The sequence below is a fragment of the Homo sapiens genome, chromosome 12 (assembly GCF_000001405.40).
Source record: "Homo sapiens chromosome 12, GRCh38.p14 Primary Assembly".
NCBI lineage: Eukaryota > Metazoa > Chordata > Mammalia > Primates > Hominidae > Homo > Homo sapiens.
In genome coordinates this window covers 40,107,746-40,126,188 of record NC_000012.12, presented here as the reverse complement: position 1 = coordinate 40,126,188, position 18,443 = coordinate 40,107,746, and the positions used below count along the sequence as shown (strand labels likewise).

Sequence of the window (18,443 nt, the reverse complement as noted above, 5' to 3'; positions counted from 1 at the left end):
TTGTTGAGACGGGGTCTCCCTATGTTCCCCAGGCTGGTCTCAAATCCCTGTGCTCAAGTGATCCTCCCGTCTGGGCCTCCCAAAGTGCTGGTATTATAGGCATGAGCCACCGCACCCAGCCTATTTTATTTCTTAAGACTAGAAATTAATTCCAAACCAAAAGAAAAGCTCTATGCGGGAAGGGACTGTGTCTCTCCTGCTCACTGCTGTGATCACAAGACCTACTATCGTACTTGGCATGCAGTAGGTACAAAATAAAGAATGGTTAAGTTGGGCATGGTGGCTCATACATGTAATCCCAGCACTTTGGGAGACCCAGACAGGAGGATGGCTTGAGGCTAGGAGTTTGAGACCACCCTGGTCAACATAGCAAGACCTCTGTCTCATAAAATTAAAAAATTAAAAAAAATAGCTGGATGTGGTGGCATGTGCCTGGAGTCTCAAGTACTAGGGATACTGAGGCAAGAGGATTACTTGAGCCCAGGAGTTAGAGGATGCAGTGAGCTACGATTGTGCCACTGCACACTAGCCTGGGCAACAGAACAAGACCTTGTATCTATTTAAATAAATACATAAAAAAGAATGGTTAAATGAATGAGTTAATAGATTAATAAGCAAATAGTTAATAAGCAAGTTATTAATAAGCAAAACCATGAAAATTACATGATGTAAACTATAACGGAGTAGGTAGACAAACATTTCTTCTAAGGCTGCCTTTTGCAAACATAGTATGTTTCCCCAGTCTCTTTGTGAAATTCTGGTGCCACTATGACCAAAAGCCCCTGGCATATCTGCTAGGAATCAAGGACAACAGTCAGTGGTGGACCCAGAGGCTAAATAGCCAAAAGTCTCTGAGAATTGTGTACAAGAACCAATGGTCCTCATGCTGGGATTAATTGTGTACAAGGACTGGAGAACATTTCTATTTAAGAAAAGCAAGCAAATTTGTTCAACTGCTACTTCCTAGCGAGTAACTATGGAGAACATACTTTATTCCAAGCACTAAACCAAGTCCATAGAAGGTAATGAGGAATATAATGATATAATGTAATGTCTGCTTTCATGAAACTCAGAGTCTAATAAAAGAAACACACATATACATATACAGTTTTCTTCAACCTTGAGAATTATGTTCTTGAAAACTCAATGACAGGATAATTTGTAGGTTAAAAACAAAGGAATTTAAGAGACAATAGAAATGTGGCACAAAGTTCATAATGAAAACAGGAAGGTCTTATTATATGTGAGATATTTATACCTTTAAGAACAGTTTTTCATGACAAAAGAATCATTTCCTATGATATTAAAACTTGAAATTCAGTTTATTAAGGCTCTTCTTTAAAGTTTTATGTTCAACAGACAAATATATTCTACTTTGCATTTTAGCAGTTTATTTAATTTTAATTAAATTTTTTTTTTTTTTGAGATGGAGTCTCACTCTGTTGCCAGGCTGGAGTGCAGTGGCATGATCTTGGCTCATTGCAGCCTCAGTCTTCCAGGTTCAAGCAATTCTCCTGCCTCAGCCTACCGAGTAGCTGGGACTACAGGTGCACACCGCCACACCCGGCTAATTTTTTTTTTTTTTTGTATTTTAGTAGAGACGGGTTTTCACCATGTTGCGCAGGCTGGTCTCAAGCTCCTGAGCTCAGGCAATCCACCAGCCTCGGCCTCCCAAAGTGCTAGGATTACAGGCTTGAGCCACCGTGCCCAGCCAATTTTAATTTTTGAGACAGGGTCTTGTTCTGTTTCCCAGACTGGAGTGCAGTGATGCAATTATGGCTCACTGCAGCCTTGAACTCATGGGCTCAAGGGATCCTCCTGCCTCAGTCTCCTGACTAGCTGGAACTAGAGGCATGCGCATGACAACCAGATAATTTATTTTATTTTTTTGTAGAAATGGGGTCTCATTATGTTGACCAGGGTGATCTCAAACTCCAGGCCTCTAGTGATCCTCCTGTCTGGGCTTCCCAAAGTGCTGGGATTATAGGCGTGAGCCACTGTGCAGAGCCAAAATTTTAGCAGTTTCTGAATAATGTTTGATAGGTTCCATTCAATATGTTAAAATATTTTTAAGCTATACTTACAAAATATTCAATTTCCTTCTTTAATACTTCACTTGTATACCTTAAAATCCTCTCGAATATAAAATTAGTTCTTAAAAGATGATAAGCTTTTAAATAATTTGATTCCTAAGTTCTCTTAAATATTTTAATAGATACCCTTAATAAAGGCTTGACTTAAAGTCTAAATCAATAACAAAATAAATCATTTTAAATTAGAATTAAATGTTTTATATGTTTCTCTAAAAAGCCGATTTTCTTTTTTATTTCAAGGACATTCCAAATATGCTCAGATTCCATAACATAGAAATATTAATATAATAATTCTGATTTTCTTTAACAGTTCTGTACTTAATTCTAAATATTCTAATAGTTAGAGGATGCTTACTTAGTAAGGAAATAATTACATCATCTTAAGACAATTTCAGCATCTCTTTCCCAACACTTGAGCTTTCACAACCAGAGCTTTTGGCTCTTTTGGATTCTTATTAGGGGCTCATGGAACAGGTTTAGCATTACTTGTTTTCTATCATATATCAATGTGACTTATAGCCCAAATAAATCACATCATTGGGTTCAACTTAAAAGTATCTGATTCTTCTACCAACTCCATAGACATCTCACACTCCTGGCCTAGCTGCTTATATTGCATGGTTGGTTTTGTCGTTTGTAAACACTTAAGATGTATACATGCATTTTCTGGCTACCTTTGATCTGGAAGGAGTCTTATATTTAAAACATAGACTTCCTATTTCCTAGGACAGACAACTCTTATTAATACTATAATGATAATTCAATTTTAAATATTTCAGTGGCTTAGTTCAACAGTTCAGTTACAACTTCTGAATCAGTCAGAATTTGAGTTACACTGCATGTAACAAAAAGTCCAAAGATCTATTGTTTAAAAAAAAAGTGCTTTTAATTTTCTCATGTATGAGGAATATAGAAATAGGCAGAAAATTGCTGATATGGCAACTTCATTATGTTATCAGACACACAAATCTTTATATTTTTCACCCAGCCTTCCCATTCTCATGGACAAAAGATATTGCATGCTTAACAAACAAACAAACAAAACAAATTGAAAGTCAGCATATAAAATAGGAAAAAAAGTCCTTTTAAAAAAAATGCTTATGTAAGCATTTAAGCTTTTAAAAAACAGCTTTATTGGGCCAGGTGTGGTGGCTCATGCCTGTAATTTCAGCACTTTGGGAGACTGAGGCAGGTCATCTGAGATCAGGAGTTGAAGACCAGCCTGGCCAACATGGCAAAACCCCGTCTCTACTAAAAAATACAAAAAAATAGCCTGGCGTGGTGGTGGGCGCCTGTAATCCCAGCGACTCAGGAGGCTGAGGCAGGAGAATCGCTTGAACTCAGGAGGCAGAGTCTGCAGTGAGCCGAGATTGTGCCACTGTACTCCAGCCTGGGCAACAGAGAGAGACTCCATCTCGAAAACAAAAACAAAACAAACATTAGCAACAACAACAACAACAACAACAAAACAGCTTTATTATAGTATAATTGACATACAAGAAATTGCACATATTTAAAGTGTACAATTTGGTCACTTTTGACATATGTACATACCTGTGAAACCATCATTACTATCAAGATAACGAAATTAACTATCTAGGTCAAATATTTCCTCAAAACCTCTTTGAAATCTCTTCCTATTGTTCTTCCCCCTCCCACCAATACCATTCCCTGACAACCAATATCTGCTTTAACTATAGAATAGTTTACATTTAATATAACTTTATGTGAATGGAATAACAGACACAGCACAGTGGCTCATGCCTGTAATCCCAGTACTTTGGAAGGCTCAGGTGGGAGGATCACTTGAGTCTAGGAGTTCGAGACCAGCCTGGGCAACATAGTGGTACCTCATCTCTACTATAATTAATTAAATAGCTGGGAGTGGTGATGTACGCCTGTAGTCCCAGATACTTGGGAGGCTGGAGTGGAAGGATTGCTGGAGCCGAGGAGGTTGAGGCTTCAGTGAACCATGATTGCACCACTGCACTCCAGCCTGGGTGACAGAGGAGAACTTGCCTCAAAATAATTAAATAAATGGAATAACAATATATACTGGTTTGTCTGGCTTATTTAGTTCAGCATAATTATTTTGAGATTCGTCTATGTGGTAATATAAACCACATATAGGTCTATGTGATAACATAGACCTATATCAATAGGTCATTACTTTGTACTGCTGATTAGTTTTTTGTGTATAGATACATACTATAACTGCTTATTTGTCTTTTTATCTGTTGATGCACATTCTGGTAGGTTTTGATTTTTGTCTACGACAAGTAAACTTCTGTGAACATTAACAAGACTTTGGATGGACTTACGCTTTCATCTCTCTAGCAAATACTTAAGGTTAAATGATTGGATCATATAATATGTATATTTTTAACTTTTTAAAGAAAATGCCAGAGTATTTTTTTTACTGGTCATGACATTTTACAATCCCACCAGCAGATGAATGTTCCAGTCCCACCACATCCTCAAAACACTTGATATGGTCAATAGGTTTGACGTTTAGGCATTTAATTAGGTGCATAGTGATACCTCATTATAGTTTTAATTTACATTTTCCTACTAGCTAGTAGATTTCAGGCATCATTTCATGTATGTATTTGCTATCCTTAAATTGTCTTTGGCAGGGTATTTTTTCAAATATATTTTCCATCTTTTAATTGAGTTGCTTGCTATTTTATTATTGAGTGTCAAGAGCTTTTTATGTATTTTGGAAATGAGTCCTCTATCCCATACATGATTTGCAAATATTTCACCAGTCTGTGACTTGTCTTTTCATTCCTTAAGAAGTGCCTTTTGACAAAAGAACATCTAGAACTAATAAGGTCTCCTTACAAAAGATTAACATGCAAAAATTCATTATATTTCCCTATACTTTCCATGAAAATGTGGATGCTAAAATTAAAAACACATGCCACTTATGATCACTAAAAAAGTGAACTACTTAGATGTTAATCTAAGGTAACATGTATCGGACTTGTATACCCCAAACTCCAAAATACTGATGAGATAAATCAAAGAATATCTACATAAATGTAAAGACAAACCCTGTTCATGGATTTGAAGACTCAACATACTCAATATAGTAAAGATATCAATTCTCCCCAAATTGAAATACAGGTTTAACACATTTCTATCATTAATCCCAGTAAGAATTTTTGGAGATACATATAAGATTGTTCTAAAATGTATATGGAAATGCAAAGGAACTAGAATAGTGGAAACAATTTCAAAACAGAAGAATGAATGGGGGAAGAATCAGTTTACTCAGTTTCAAGACTTACTAGGTGGTTACATTAATGAAGATTGTGTGGTATTGGGAGAAAATTAGACATATAAGTCAATGGAGCAAAATAGAGAACTCCAAAATAAACCCATAAGCAGGCCTAGCTAATTTTTGACAAAAATGCAAATGTAGTCCAATAGGAGAGAACATAGCCTTTTCCACAAAGCTGGTGCTGAAGCCAGTGGAGATACATAGGCAAAAAAAAAAAAAAAAAAAAAAAAAAAAAAGACCATTGACCTAAGTCACATGCCTTATACAAAAATTAATTCAAAATGGGTCAAGAGATTAAATGTAATACATAAAACTATAGCACTTTTAGAAAAAAAAATAGGAGAAAATCTCTGGAACCTCGGGTTAGGCAGAGTTCTTAGATTTAAAACCAAATATATAATCTATACAAGAAACAAAATGATACTATAGGCTTTGTCAAAATTAAGAGCTATTAACTCTCTGTTAAGAGATGAAAAGAAAGCTATAGATGATTGGGAGAAAATATTTGTTCGCCACATATCCAACTAAAGATTAGTATCTAAAATATATAAAGAATTCTCGAATATCGGGAGTGAAAAAATAAACAATCCAATAAGAAAATGGGCAAAGGGCATGAAGAGATACTTCACTGAAGAAGATACACAGATGGCAAATAGGGACATTAAAACAGGGTGACCATGATTAGCCTTTAAAAAACGCAAATTGATACCATAATGAGATAACACTGCACACCTATATAAATGGCTAAAAGAAACAGACAACACCAAATGTTGATGAGGATCTGGAGGATCTGGATCTAGAGAATGAAGGAATGTAAAATGGTACAACCACTCTGGAAGGCATTTTGGTACTTTTTGAAAAAAGTAAACATGATACTTACCAACCAAATAATCCATCAATTACATCCTTGGGTATTTATGTCAAATAAATGAAAAACTTATATTCACACAAAAACTTGTATACAAATATTTATAGCTGTTTTATAAATAACAGCCAAATGCAGGAAATAACCCAGGTCTTCAAATGGGTGAATGGTTAAACCAACTGTTGTATACCCACACCATGAAATACTACACAGCTACATATACACCAATACATGCAACAACCTAGATTAATCTCCAAAGAATTATGATGAGTGAAAAAAGTCACTTCCAAGAGTTTGTATATATACTGTATGATTCCATTTAAATAACATTCTTGAAGTGACAAAACTATAGAAATGGAGAACAGATTATTAATATCCGAGGTTAAGGAGAAGGTGAGGGCAGGAGGAAAGTCAGTGTAGATATAAAAGGACAGCATGAGAGATCCTTGTGGTGATAGAAATGCTCTGTATCATTGTGAATATCTTGGTCGTGATATTGTATATTGTACTGTAGTTTTGCAAGCTGTTGCCATTGGGGATTACTGGGTAAAGGATATATGGGATTGTTCTGTGTTATTTCTGACAACTGCATGTGAACAAGTACAATTAAAACATAAAGCACCTTTTGAAGTAGAGGAATTTCCAATTTTGGTGAAATCTAAGTTATCAGTGTTTTCCTTTAGGGATTGTGTTTTTGGTATTTTATTTTATTAATTAATTAATTTTGAGACAGAGTGTCACTCTGTCACTCAGGCTGGAGTGCAGTGGTGCAACAGGACTCACTGCAAACTCCACCTCCCAGGTTCAAGCAATTTTCATGCTTCAGCTTCCCTAGTAGCTGGCATTACAGATGTGCGCCACCCTGCCCGGCTATTTTTTTTTTTTTTTTTAGTAGAGACTGAGTTTTGCCCTGTTGGCCAAGCTGGTCTCGAACTCTCTGCCTCAAGAGATCCACCTGCCTTGGCCTCCCAAAGTGATAGGATTACAGGCAGGCATGAGCCACCACGCCTTATATATTTAAGACGTCGTTGCCTAATGCAAGGTAGCAAAGATTTTCTCCTAGGTTTTCTTCTAGAAGATTTTCAGCTTTAGTTTCCTACCTTCCATTCTATCATCCATTTTGAATTAATTTTTGTACATGACTTAAGCTATGGATTGAATTTCATTTTTCTGCCTGTGGATATCCAAATGTTCCAGCATCATTTATTGAAAAGATTGTCCTTTTCCCACGTAATGTTCTTTCACTGTGTTGAATGACCTCAGCTCCAACCTTAGGAAACAAGAAAAGGAACAGCAAATGATGTATTATCCTTCTTTTAATATATTGAATATATTGTTGGATTTCATTTGCTAACATTTTGTTTAGAATCTTTGTATCTATGTGCATAAGGAAAATGTTTTGTAGCTCTCTAGTAATTGTCTGGTTTTGGAATCAGGGTAATGCTGATCTCAGAATGTGTTGGGAAGTATTCCATACTCTTCAATTTTCTGAAAGAATGGGTATAGAATTACATTATTTCTTCCTTAAATGTTTGGTAGACTTTGCCAGTGAAGTTGACTGGGCTTGCAATTTGCCTCATGGGAAAGTTTTAAACTACAAATAGTTTCTTAATAGATATAAAGCTATTCAAATAATCTCTTTCTTTTTGAGTGAGCTTTGGTAATTTGTCTATTTCAAGGAGTACGTCTATTTCATAAATTTTTCCAGTATGAAATATTTATAATATTACCTTATGATCCTTTTAATACTTGTGGAATCTACAATAATGTAACATCTCTCATTCCTGATACTGATAATTTGTGGCTTCTGTCGTTTTTTCCTTATGAGTCTTGTGAGAGGATTATCAATTTTACTCATTTTTTCAACAACCAGCTTTTAGTTTCGATGACTGAAACTAAAACTATTGTCTCTGTCTTCCATTTCACTGATTCCCTCTTTGACTTCTCATCTTAAAATTTCATTTTCTCTTCCTTTTTTTGTTTTTTAAGAGTGAAGTTGAGGTCACTGACTTGAGGTGCTTTTTTGCTTCTGTTACAGATATTTAGCTTGTAGCTTCCCCTTAGCTCTGCTTTAGTAGATCGTACAAATATTGATCTATCATGTTTTCCTTTTCATTCAGTTCAGAAATACTTTCTAATCACTCCTTTAGCTCTTTCCTTAGCTCATGGTTAATTTAGAAGTGTGCTATTTAGTTTCTAAATATTTGGGAGCTGTTGGTTTGAATTGAATTCTACTATAGTCAGAGAATATACTTTGAATGTCTTAAATCGTAAATTTACTAAGATTAGTTGTAAAGTCCAAGATATGCTCTAACTTGGGTAAATGTTCTGTGTGTACTTGAAAGAAATGTGTATCTGCCACTGTTGGATGGAGTGTCAATTAGGTTAAGTTGGTTGATAGTGTTATTCAAATATTTTATATCCTTATTACATACTATTTTTTGTGTACTAGTTCTATCAATTATTGAGAAAGTATTAAAATCTCTGACTCTGTGATTTTTTTCTATTTTTATTTCATCACTATCATGCATTTGGAAGCTCTGTTTATTTATATTTAGATTATTTTACTTTATTATTTTTGAGTCAGGATCTCACTCTGCTGCCCAGGTTAGAGTGCAGTGGCACGATCATGGCTCACTGCAGCCTTGACCTCCCCAGGCTCAAGTGATCCCCCCACCTCAGCCTCTCAAGTAGCTGGGACTTCAGGTGCATGCCACCACACTTAGCTAATTTTTTGTATTTTTTTGTAGAGATGAGGTCTTGCCATGTTGCCCAGGCTGAAGCTCTGTTTTTAGATGTTTAACTTTTAGATTTATGTCCTCTTGTCGGAATGACCCCCTTTATCATTAAGAAATGGCCCTGGTAATATTGTTTGTTCAGAAATTGTATTTATCTGAATTAATATAACCATTCTAGCTTTCTTTCTTTTCCTTTTTTCTTTTTTATTTTTTTGAGACACGATCTGATGTAGTTTGGATATATGTTCCCATCCTAATCTCATATTGAATTATACTCTCCAGTATTGGAGGTGGGGCCTGTGGAAGGTGACTGGATCATGAGAGTGAATTTCTCATGAATGGTTTAGCACCATCCCTTTGATGTTGTCCTTGCAATACTGAGTGACTTCTCATGAGATCTGGCTGTTTAAAAGTGTGTGACAATTCACTTTTTCTTGCTGCTGCTTTCACCATGTGATGTGCCTGCTCCCCCTTTGCCTTCTGCCATGACTGTAAGCTTCCTGAGGCCTCACTAAGAGCAGATGCTGCTATGTTTTCTGTATAGCCTGCAGAACAATAAGCCAATTAAACCTCTTTCCTTTAAAAATTACCTGGCAATGCAAGAATGGCCTGATACGAGGTCTCACTCTGTTGCCAGGCTGAAGTGCTGTGGCATGGTCATAGCTCACTGTGACCTTAAACTACTGGGCTCAAGGGAAACCACTGCCTCAGCCTCCTGTGTAGCTTGGACTACAGGTGTGTGCCACCACGCCCAGAAGATTAAAAAAAATTTTTTTTGTAGCCACAAGGTCTTGCTATGTTGCCCAGGCTGGCCTCAAACTCCTGGCCTCAAGCAATTCTTATGCCTGGGACTCCCAAGGTGGGTTTATAGGCATGAGCCACCATGCCTGGGTTACCTTTTCTTTTCTTTTTTTTTTTTAAATAGTGTTAGCATGGTGTATCTTTGTATATACTTTTATATTCAATCTCTGATAAATAAATATATATAATATTTAATATATTAATTATATTTAAGGTTTGTTTCTTATAGGCAGGATATAGTTGAGTTTTGCAACTTAACTATTCAATTTTATCATCTTTGTCTTTTAATTGGTGTGCTTAGACTACTTATCTTCAATGTGATTATTGATATGGTTGGGCTGTTCTTCACTCCCCTTTTCCTCTTTATTTTCTTTTTCTGCCTTTAAAAGTTTGCTTTTTCTTTCATTTACTTCTTGTTGGCTTCTTTTACATTATTTTGATGCTTTTTTAAGGTATTAAAATATACATCTTTCATTTACTGATATCATACCACACTTCACATGTAGTATGAGAAAACTGCAAGTGTATATTTTCATTTCTGCCCTCCTGGCACTTGTACTATGGCTGTCATACACTTCGTAATGAATATACACACACACAATACATTATATTTATAGAATATAAATTATATAAAATGTATACTATATAATTTACATATGAAATCTTAGAACTTTTGCAAGGGCCAGAGATTCGGACTTGGAGGCTGTTTTCAAGTACATCTTAACTCTCCCATTGCTGCTGCAGTAGAGACCCTTCTGCTGCTGCTACCACTGGGAAAACATACCACAGCTAAAATGTGGACATGGGTACATCCCCACTACAACTGCTGCTGCTACCTCTTCAGGCTGTATGTCCCTCTGTCAGTCCCTACCACCCTCCCTATGATGTACCTTATGGATAGCCTTCCTCTTCATGTTACTCTCTTCCAATTAAAGCCTTGTGCAGATTTGTTGCTTGGCTGAGCCTGGGTCACATGCCTGCCCCTAACTCCAGAGAATGCTGGGAAAGTGAGCTTCTGGCTTCCTATTTTGGCAAGGCAATGTTCGTAATTCAGGCACTTCCCTAAACAGAGAAAAAGGGTCCAAATGTAGGAAGTGATCAAAAAGTATAATAAAAGTCTACTATCTATTGGGAGATAAAAAATATGTATAGATTTTATCCAAGCAGAAAACATAGTTTTAAAAATAAAGACACAAAGCAATTTTGCTACACACCTAAACTATAACAGAAACCTAAAGCTTTATTTTTTAATATCAGCAAAGGCTTTAAAATTATGGGAGTATATTAGTTGACTGCTTTCCCCTCCTCATTCACACTGTGAGTCTCTCATCCATCAGGATGATAATTGAAAGCTCAGTCTATACTTAGCCTGTAGGTCTGTGAGAAATAGCTGTGATTACTATGGGGCTCCTGCATGGAAATTTCATGGCAATTTTACAAAGCAAAGATCATACAGAAGAAATTGACTTTGCTTTTCTTGTCAGTGCACTATTACATTCTTATTTTCTTTCCAAATCACTCCCTGATGAATATCTGCCATCATTAGCCAGTGGCAATAACATATTTACTGAATTTTTCTATACTCTTCCAAACATCTCTTATAACAAATAAATAACTCAGAGAAAATAATGCAATTATCTTAACTCTTCAGCTCAGAAACACATTTCTTTTTTGTATTGCATTCTGAGGAATGTTTTTTTCCCACTAGGAAGCTTTATTTTTCTTTTTAGTATTAGGGAGAGCTACTAAAATGGTTCATCTCTTTCTAGTTCTCTACAGAGTTCAGAGTAATTTTCCGAGATGAGAGATCATTGACTGATAAGTATATAGACTTAGCTTTCAGCTTCAAAATTTTCAAGACTTTTTTCAAAGATTTTCAAAGCATTGATTCTTAGTCTATGTTTTGAGATTTATGGATTTATATAATATTTCTATTCTTTGAATATTTTTCTTAAGAAGAATGTGCAAAACCACAGAGTGATAGGCAGAGTGATCACATGTCTGGTTAGTAGCTAAGAAAGATGTTCATTAATATGGAGACAATACACACAGAAGTTGTGCATTGCTACTTGTAATCTAGAACTCCCCAAATTGATGATAAAACAGACAGTGATCACTAGTAGGCCAGATAAAGGTAGAAACTAAGTAGATTTTAAAACTGAAGTAAAGTAAATTATTAACTCTTTAATTTGATCAGCTGACATTTCATAAATAATTTTGGTACCAATTAGGAATAACTATTTTTGTTACAGTTTTGTTTTTCATATTATTGTCTTGAAATGGAGAAAAAAAGTCATTGTATTTAAATAATTTTTAAATTTCAGTCCATCCATCTTTTGTCTCCCGTGAACTTGACTAGAAATTTGTCTTTATCAGTTCTTTGGTATATAATAATTTATATGATCATCTAGTTTTACACATGGGCATGTGGTGTTTTCCTACTTGAGAATGAGAACAATTAAGGACTGTGCCAAATAAACTACTTTTCATAGAGTAAATGCTCAAAAAACAGTATATTTCTATTAAAATCTATAATGTATGCAATGTGTTTCTTAAGATAAAGCATTTTATGTCTCATTGGTTGCTCAGTTAAAATCTGACCACTGGTTGGACTAGAGTTGGGGTTTAGATGTGATGCTCTACAGGCACTTCATGTTACCTCAAGTTGTTATTATTTCATTGTATTATCCTTAAATGTGGAAAGTCATGACTTACATACCCATGTCAATCAGAGTCCATACAGACTGATACCATTCATTGATTCATTAATATGTTCTTGGAATAAATATTTGAGCCCCTACATGCGGCAGCACTGTACTAGCTGGCCTCAAGGGCTTTAGTGTTAAACAAAGCAAACACAGGCCTTGCTCTCATTTACTAAGGACACTCTTTAATTGCAGGCCAAGTTGTAGATTAAACCTCTCTAATTGCACCTATGAAGATAAGTTTTCTAAAAGAATTCCCAGTTTAAGAAAATCACAGGAAGAGAGTAGTGAATGCTCCAAAGGATCTCTGTCTCACATTTATTGACTCTTAGCATGAAAATCAAATGTGAAAGCAACTTCAGCATTACCCAAAGGTGGTTCAGTGTATTCTAGGTATAAAAATGTTCCATGGTATACATTTGTATTAGTCCGTTTTCACATTGCTATAAAGATACTACCAGAGGCTGTGTAATTTATAAACAAAGGAGGTTTAATTGACTCACCATTCTGCATGGCTTGGGAGGCCTCAGGAAACTTACCATCATGGCAGAAAGGGAAGCAAGCACCTCTTCACAAGGTGGCAGGAAAAAGAAGCATGAAGGAGGAATTTCTAAACACTTATAAAGCCATCAGATCTCATCAGAACTCACTTTCATGAGAACAGTATGGGAGGAACTGCCCCTATGATCCAATCACCTCCCTCCTTTGACACGTGGGGATTACAGGTCCCTCCCTCAACATGAGGGGATTACATTATGAGATGAGATGTGGGTGGGAACACAGAGCCAACCCATATCAACATTATAAAAATTGTGAGAGAGAATCTGGAGGGAAATTACAATAGCATGCTTTTGGATATATTGAGGTTGGCCACTCTTGCTGAAATGTTTTTTGCACAAGTTAATTTAAATGATCATTTTATTTTGCATGTGTAAGTACTACTGACAGGGAAGACAAAAGTATCTTTCCAAACAGTGTTTGTTCATGCCATGCAACATTATATGGACAATGAGTTACACAATTTGTTTTATCAAATTAAAAGTTTTTGGTTTTTCTGAGTTGAGAGTATAAGGAAAGAGGAATTTATTAATTTATATAACACTCATTAGCCAATTATAAAATATATGTTGATTGTTTCAGCTGCATACTTTGCTTAGTTTTAACTTGATAAATTCATTCAATTTGGCTAAGTAGGGTCACAGTGGTACCATGCCTACTGTACTTACAATTTCCGACAGAGTGAGTGTTACAACTGAGTTTACAATTTGGATTCAAAATGCAAAACAAAATATATAAAATTGTTTAAAACAGAGTGATCAGTAAGGAGCTCATCATGTTACAAGTTCAATTTAAAGGGTATTTTCCACCTGGGCCTGGTGGCTCATGCCTGTAATCCCAGCACTTTGGGATGCTAAAGCAGGAGGGAGGTTGAGGTGGAAGGATCGCTTGAACCTAGTAGGTCAAGGATGCAGTAAGCTGTGATGGCACTGCTCTACTCAAGCCTGGACTACAAAGCAAGACCCTGGCTCAAAATTTAATAAATAAATAAATAAAAATAAAATTATTTTCCACTAACTAGCTCAAACATTGAAACTGCCTGAAGAACCAGTCTCAAACCAAATTAATCACATCTCAGTGAAATAAAGTGAGTTGTTAGTTTCATTAGTGAGTCTACTTTGAAACAAATACTTCCCATTGTTCTCATTTCAGATCGCTCAATCCTGCTTAATGAGAGCATTCCTTGAATTGACAAGTCAAATTGGGTTTTCTTTTTTGTTTCTTTTTAATTTTGATCATTTGTAGGTATTCATCTGGGTCAATAAAGAATATTTTGACACTCCACAACCAAAATTCAACTACTCTGGTTTTTTTTCCCTGTAGCAATCATTTAGTACATTGTGCTATGTATTATTAGTTACTTTTATATTTGGCCATGTGGATATTTTACTAGCTGAAAGACATTACATTTGAGGATAGGAACTAGGTACTATCCTTATGTGTACACATTGGAAACTTATGATATCTGAAAATGCTGAAGTCCTCTTGCCACTTTGGGGGAAGCCAGTGGAGGGCAAACCCAATATGCTAAGAATAGCAGAGTAGAGAAAGTGATAGAACCTGGCTCCTTCATAACATTTTTGGAAAAAGCTGATCATACCATTCCCAACAGCTGGCCATTCAGATTCATGCCATGTATTTCTGTAGTGTTTAGGACAGTTTGAATGTGGATTATCTGTTAGAATTGAAATCATCCAAATATGAATACTGTATTATTATTCCCAGTTACAGAAGAGAAAACTGAAGCTTATAGAGAATAAGTTGCCCAAGGTTACACAAGGAAGTAGCATAGTGAAGACATGAAGTGGAGTCTTTGTGACTACATCTTAGGCTCACTCCACCCCTCACCCCCAAATACACAAGATTACCCATTTAACAGAACTCTTTCCCTATTCTTGTTATTAATATCATCTTCTTTCTTATGATGATGTTCTTTTTTGTTTCCTTGCCTTTTTTTCTCAGAGGAAGAAGTGTCTCTCCTCCTCCCTATGGCTAGGCTAGCCTTGCCTCACCCCATATGTTCTTGCTCATATCCTTTCTGCCTTCTTTGGGACTTTGTCCTATCAATCATTCCAGCTCTTGAATTGACTATTTCTTTTTACTTCAGCATCTAAATAAATTCATGTCATACCTAATCCCCATCCACACCCTTTCCCTTGATCCTGATAACTCTTTAAGCTACTCTTTCATTACATTTAGCAAGAGACTTATAGAAAATGCAGCCTATGTTTGATATTTCCACTAATTTCATCTTAATTAAAATTGCTTTCTTAAAAGTCTCTGAGGGGAAACAGGCATTGCAACTCTCCCTACCCAAAGGAGGAGGAGATGATATAATGATGTGTCACAGGCTCTATTGCTGATCGGGTCATAGTTACTAGTGGGCAGGGTCAGTGTATGTTAAAAGGTCATCCATCCCTCATGCCTTCTTGTGCTTCCTGCTCCTTGTCTCTCTGTAGTGGCAGATCTAGACAGGGCACTGGCCATTGGGGTATGCTGACCATCTTTTCTTATTTCCCTCCATTCTTGTCTCCTTCCTTTCAGCTTTTTCCTCCTCCTCCTTACAGCAAGTCAAAGAAAGGTTCTTGTGGGAAGTACTAAATACCCAAGTATCTTATACTTCATAACTAAGCCATAGGACCCATACTTTACCTTTGTACTTATTAATAATACAGTATCTTTCTTCTGATGCTGCTATTGCTTATTATACATACAGAGATGAGGAATAATCAAAATGATGGGATTCTGGCATTACTAGGCTTCATGAAGGTAATACCATCAAAATAACATTTTGATTCTTCACAGTCACCGTTCATTGACTTTCTCTTTTTTTTTTTTTTTTTTTTTTGAGACAGAGTCTCTCTGTTGCCCAGGCTGTAGTGCAGTGGTGCAATCTTGACTCACTGCAACCTCTGCCTCCTGGGTTCAAATGATTCTCCTACCTCAGTCTCCCAAGTAGCTGGGATTACAGGGATGCGCCACCACACCCAGCTAATTTTTATATTTTTAGTAGAGATGGGGTTTCACAATGTTGGCCAGGCTGGTCTTGAACTCCTCACCTCAGATGATCCACTTACCTCGGTCTCCCAAAGTGCTGGTATTACAAGCATGAGCCACTGCATCTGGTCTTTCATTGACTTTCTATAATAAAATTCAAAGATTTTCCATGAGTTTTCATTCTCTTTGATCTCTGTGTAATATAATTGATTCTCTTAGCCAGTTCTTCCTTCTTGAAATGGTTTACTTGGCTTTTATGCCATGTTAACTTACTAATTACTTATGGCAACTCAAATATATTGGTTTTATTGCCAGCATTTATTCGCCTGACTTCTGGCAAAATAGCACATCACATTTCTTATGGGAAAACCTCCTATAGTCTAAGCCCATGTAATTTACCTTCACTCACAGCTCATGATGTGGGTGTTGATTGGCCCCAGCCTGATCACCAAACTGTAATCTCCCAGCTGCAGTAACTGGGGCAGGAATGGTACCACAACTGACAAATCCAATTACATACAATATAAGTTTGCTAGGGCTTTGGAGAAAGAGGCTCTTTTTCTGTCCTTTCAGACATGAGTGGAAAAGGATATTATATTAGGCTGTTCTTGCTATAAAGAAATATCTGAGACTGGATATTTTATAAGAAAAGAGGTTTAATTGGCTCACAGTTCTGCAGGCTGTACAGAAAGCACAGCACTGGCATCTGTTTCTGGAAAGATCTCAGGAAGCTTACAATCATGGCGGAAGGCAAAGGGGGAGCAGGCACATCACACGGTGAAAGCAAAGGACCAGATCTCCTGTGAACTCAAAAGGAGCTCATTTATCGCCAAGGAGATGACCCAAGCCATTCATTTGGGATCCACCCCCAGGATCTAAACTAGTCTTGTCAGGCCTCAACTTCAACACGGGGGATTACATCTCAACATGCGATTTTGATGGGGACAAATATCCAAACTATCTCAGGTATAGGGCTTGGAGTTTGCTACAGCCCTTTGAGCACCACATAAAATTTAAGAATGGAGCCTAAGGAGTAGGAAGCAGAGTGGAGAAATGGACGTCTGTGTGACATCCTGGTGTTTTTAGTCCTTTATCCAACTGCACTTGACGCCAACTTATTAGAGAGTTTTCAGAGACAATAGACAATAAGTACTCCCTCTTTCCCATTATTTTGGCTTAAACCAGTTTGATCTCGATTCTCTATCTCTTGCATCCAAAACAATTCAAAAACAAACAAATAAAACAACAATATATATATATGTATTTTACCATGTACATACATATGCATATAAATTCATAGAGAAAGTTCTGGAAAGATATATTTCAAAGTGGTAGAGGTGGTTATCTCTGGCCAAAGGGGTCTGTTATGGTGGGAAAGACGATTGAGAAGGGGCTTTTCGCCTTTCTTTATTGTTAGACTGCTTTGGAACATGTTACTGGAGGTTGTAAAGCAAATATCCTCAAAGCTGGAACTATAGAACTCACTGCAAACCAATAATGACTCTTGTAATTAAATTTGCCCTGCAATAGCAATTAATTATATTTCAAAAATACCCTTTAACACTCTCGTCAATGAGTAGTTGCTGCACCATTATCTGCTCTTCAAATGAGAGAAAAAAAAAAAAAGCAAAGCACAAGCTAATCTTGTGGTTTGTGGAAAGTTTTACGGTAAAACAATGGTGGTGTTGACATTCATCTCTTTTGATTCTCAGCCCATGGGTTTTCCAGTTCATCATAAACCGCAGCTGGGGCCGACTTTGGGGAACTCCATATTAGACTCACGCGCTGATGCTAAGTTGAACTGGACTCCCTCTCAAGGCTGAGACGAATTCTGTTTAACTCTCCGAAGCTTTTTTTTTTTTTTTGAGATGGAATCTCGCTCTGTCGCCCAGGCTGGATTGCAGTGGCACGATCTCGGCTCACTGCAACCTCCGCCTCCTGGGTTCAAGCAATACTCTGCCTCAGCCTCCCGAGTTGCTGGGATTACAGACGCGTGCCGCCATGCCCGGCTAACTTTTGTATTTTTAGTAGAGACAGGGTTTCACCACGTTGGCCAGGCTGGTCTTGAACTCCTGACCCCGTAATCCACCCGCCTCAGCCTCCCAAAGTGCTGTGATTACAGGCGTGAGCCACCGCGCCCGGCCTCCGATGCCTTTTTTTTCACGTCACATTTCTTTTAAAATGTAACCTGACCGCAGATACATAACTGTCCTAATACGGAACAGAATTTTTAAAGTAGTTTCTTGTTCTATGACCCCAAAGCTGAATTTCAAGCAAGGAATGCTCAGGAACCAAGATGTTCACTGCACCAGCTGAGACAAAAAGTAGTTTATTTTCATCTCAGCAAGAGGGAACTGTCAAAGAACCAGATGCTTCTCATCTGCGGAGCCCTTCTCTTCA

At 36.9% G+C, this 18,443-nt stretch overlaps 1 annotated feature.

The window, feature by feature from the left end:
- Nucleotides 8,189-8,248: an enhancer, noted in NCBI's record as "active region_6206". NCBI's record gives its function as "activates an Ori minimal core promoter by ATAC-STARR-seq in GM12878 lymphoblastoid cells {active_cell/tissue: GM12878}" and the evidence as "EXISTENCE:reporter gene assay evidence [ECO:0000049][PMID:35858748]".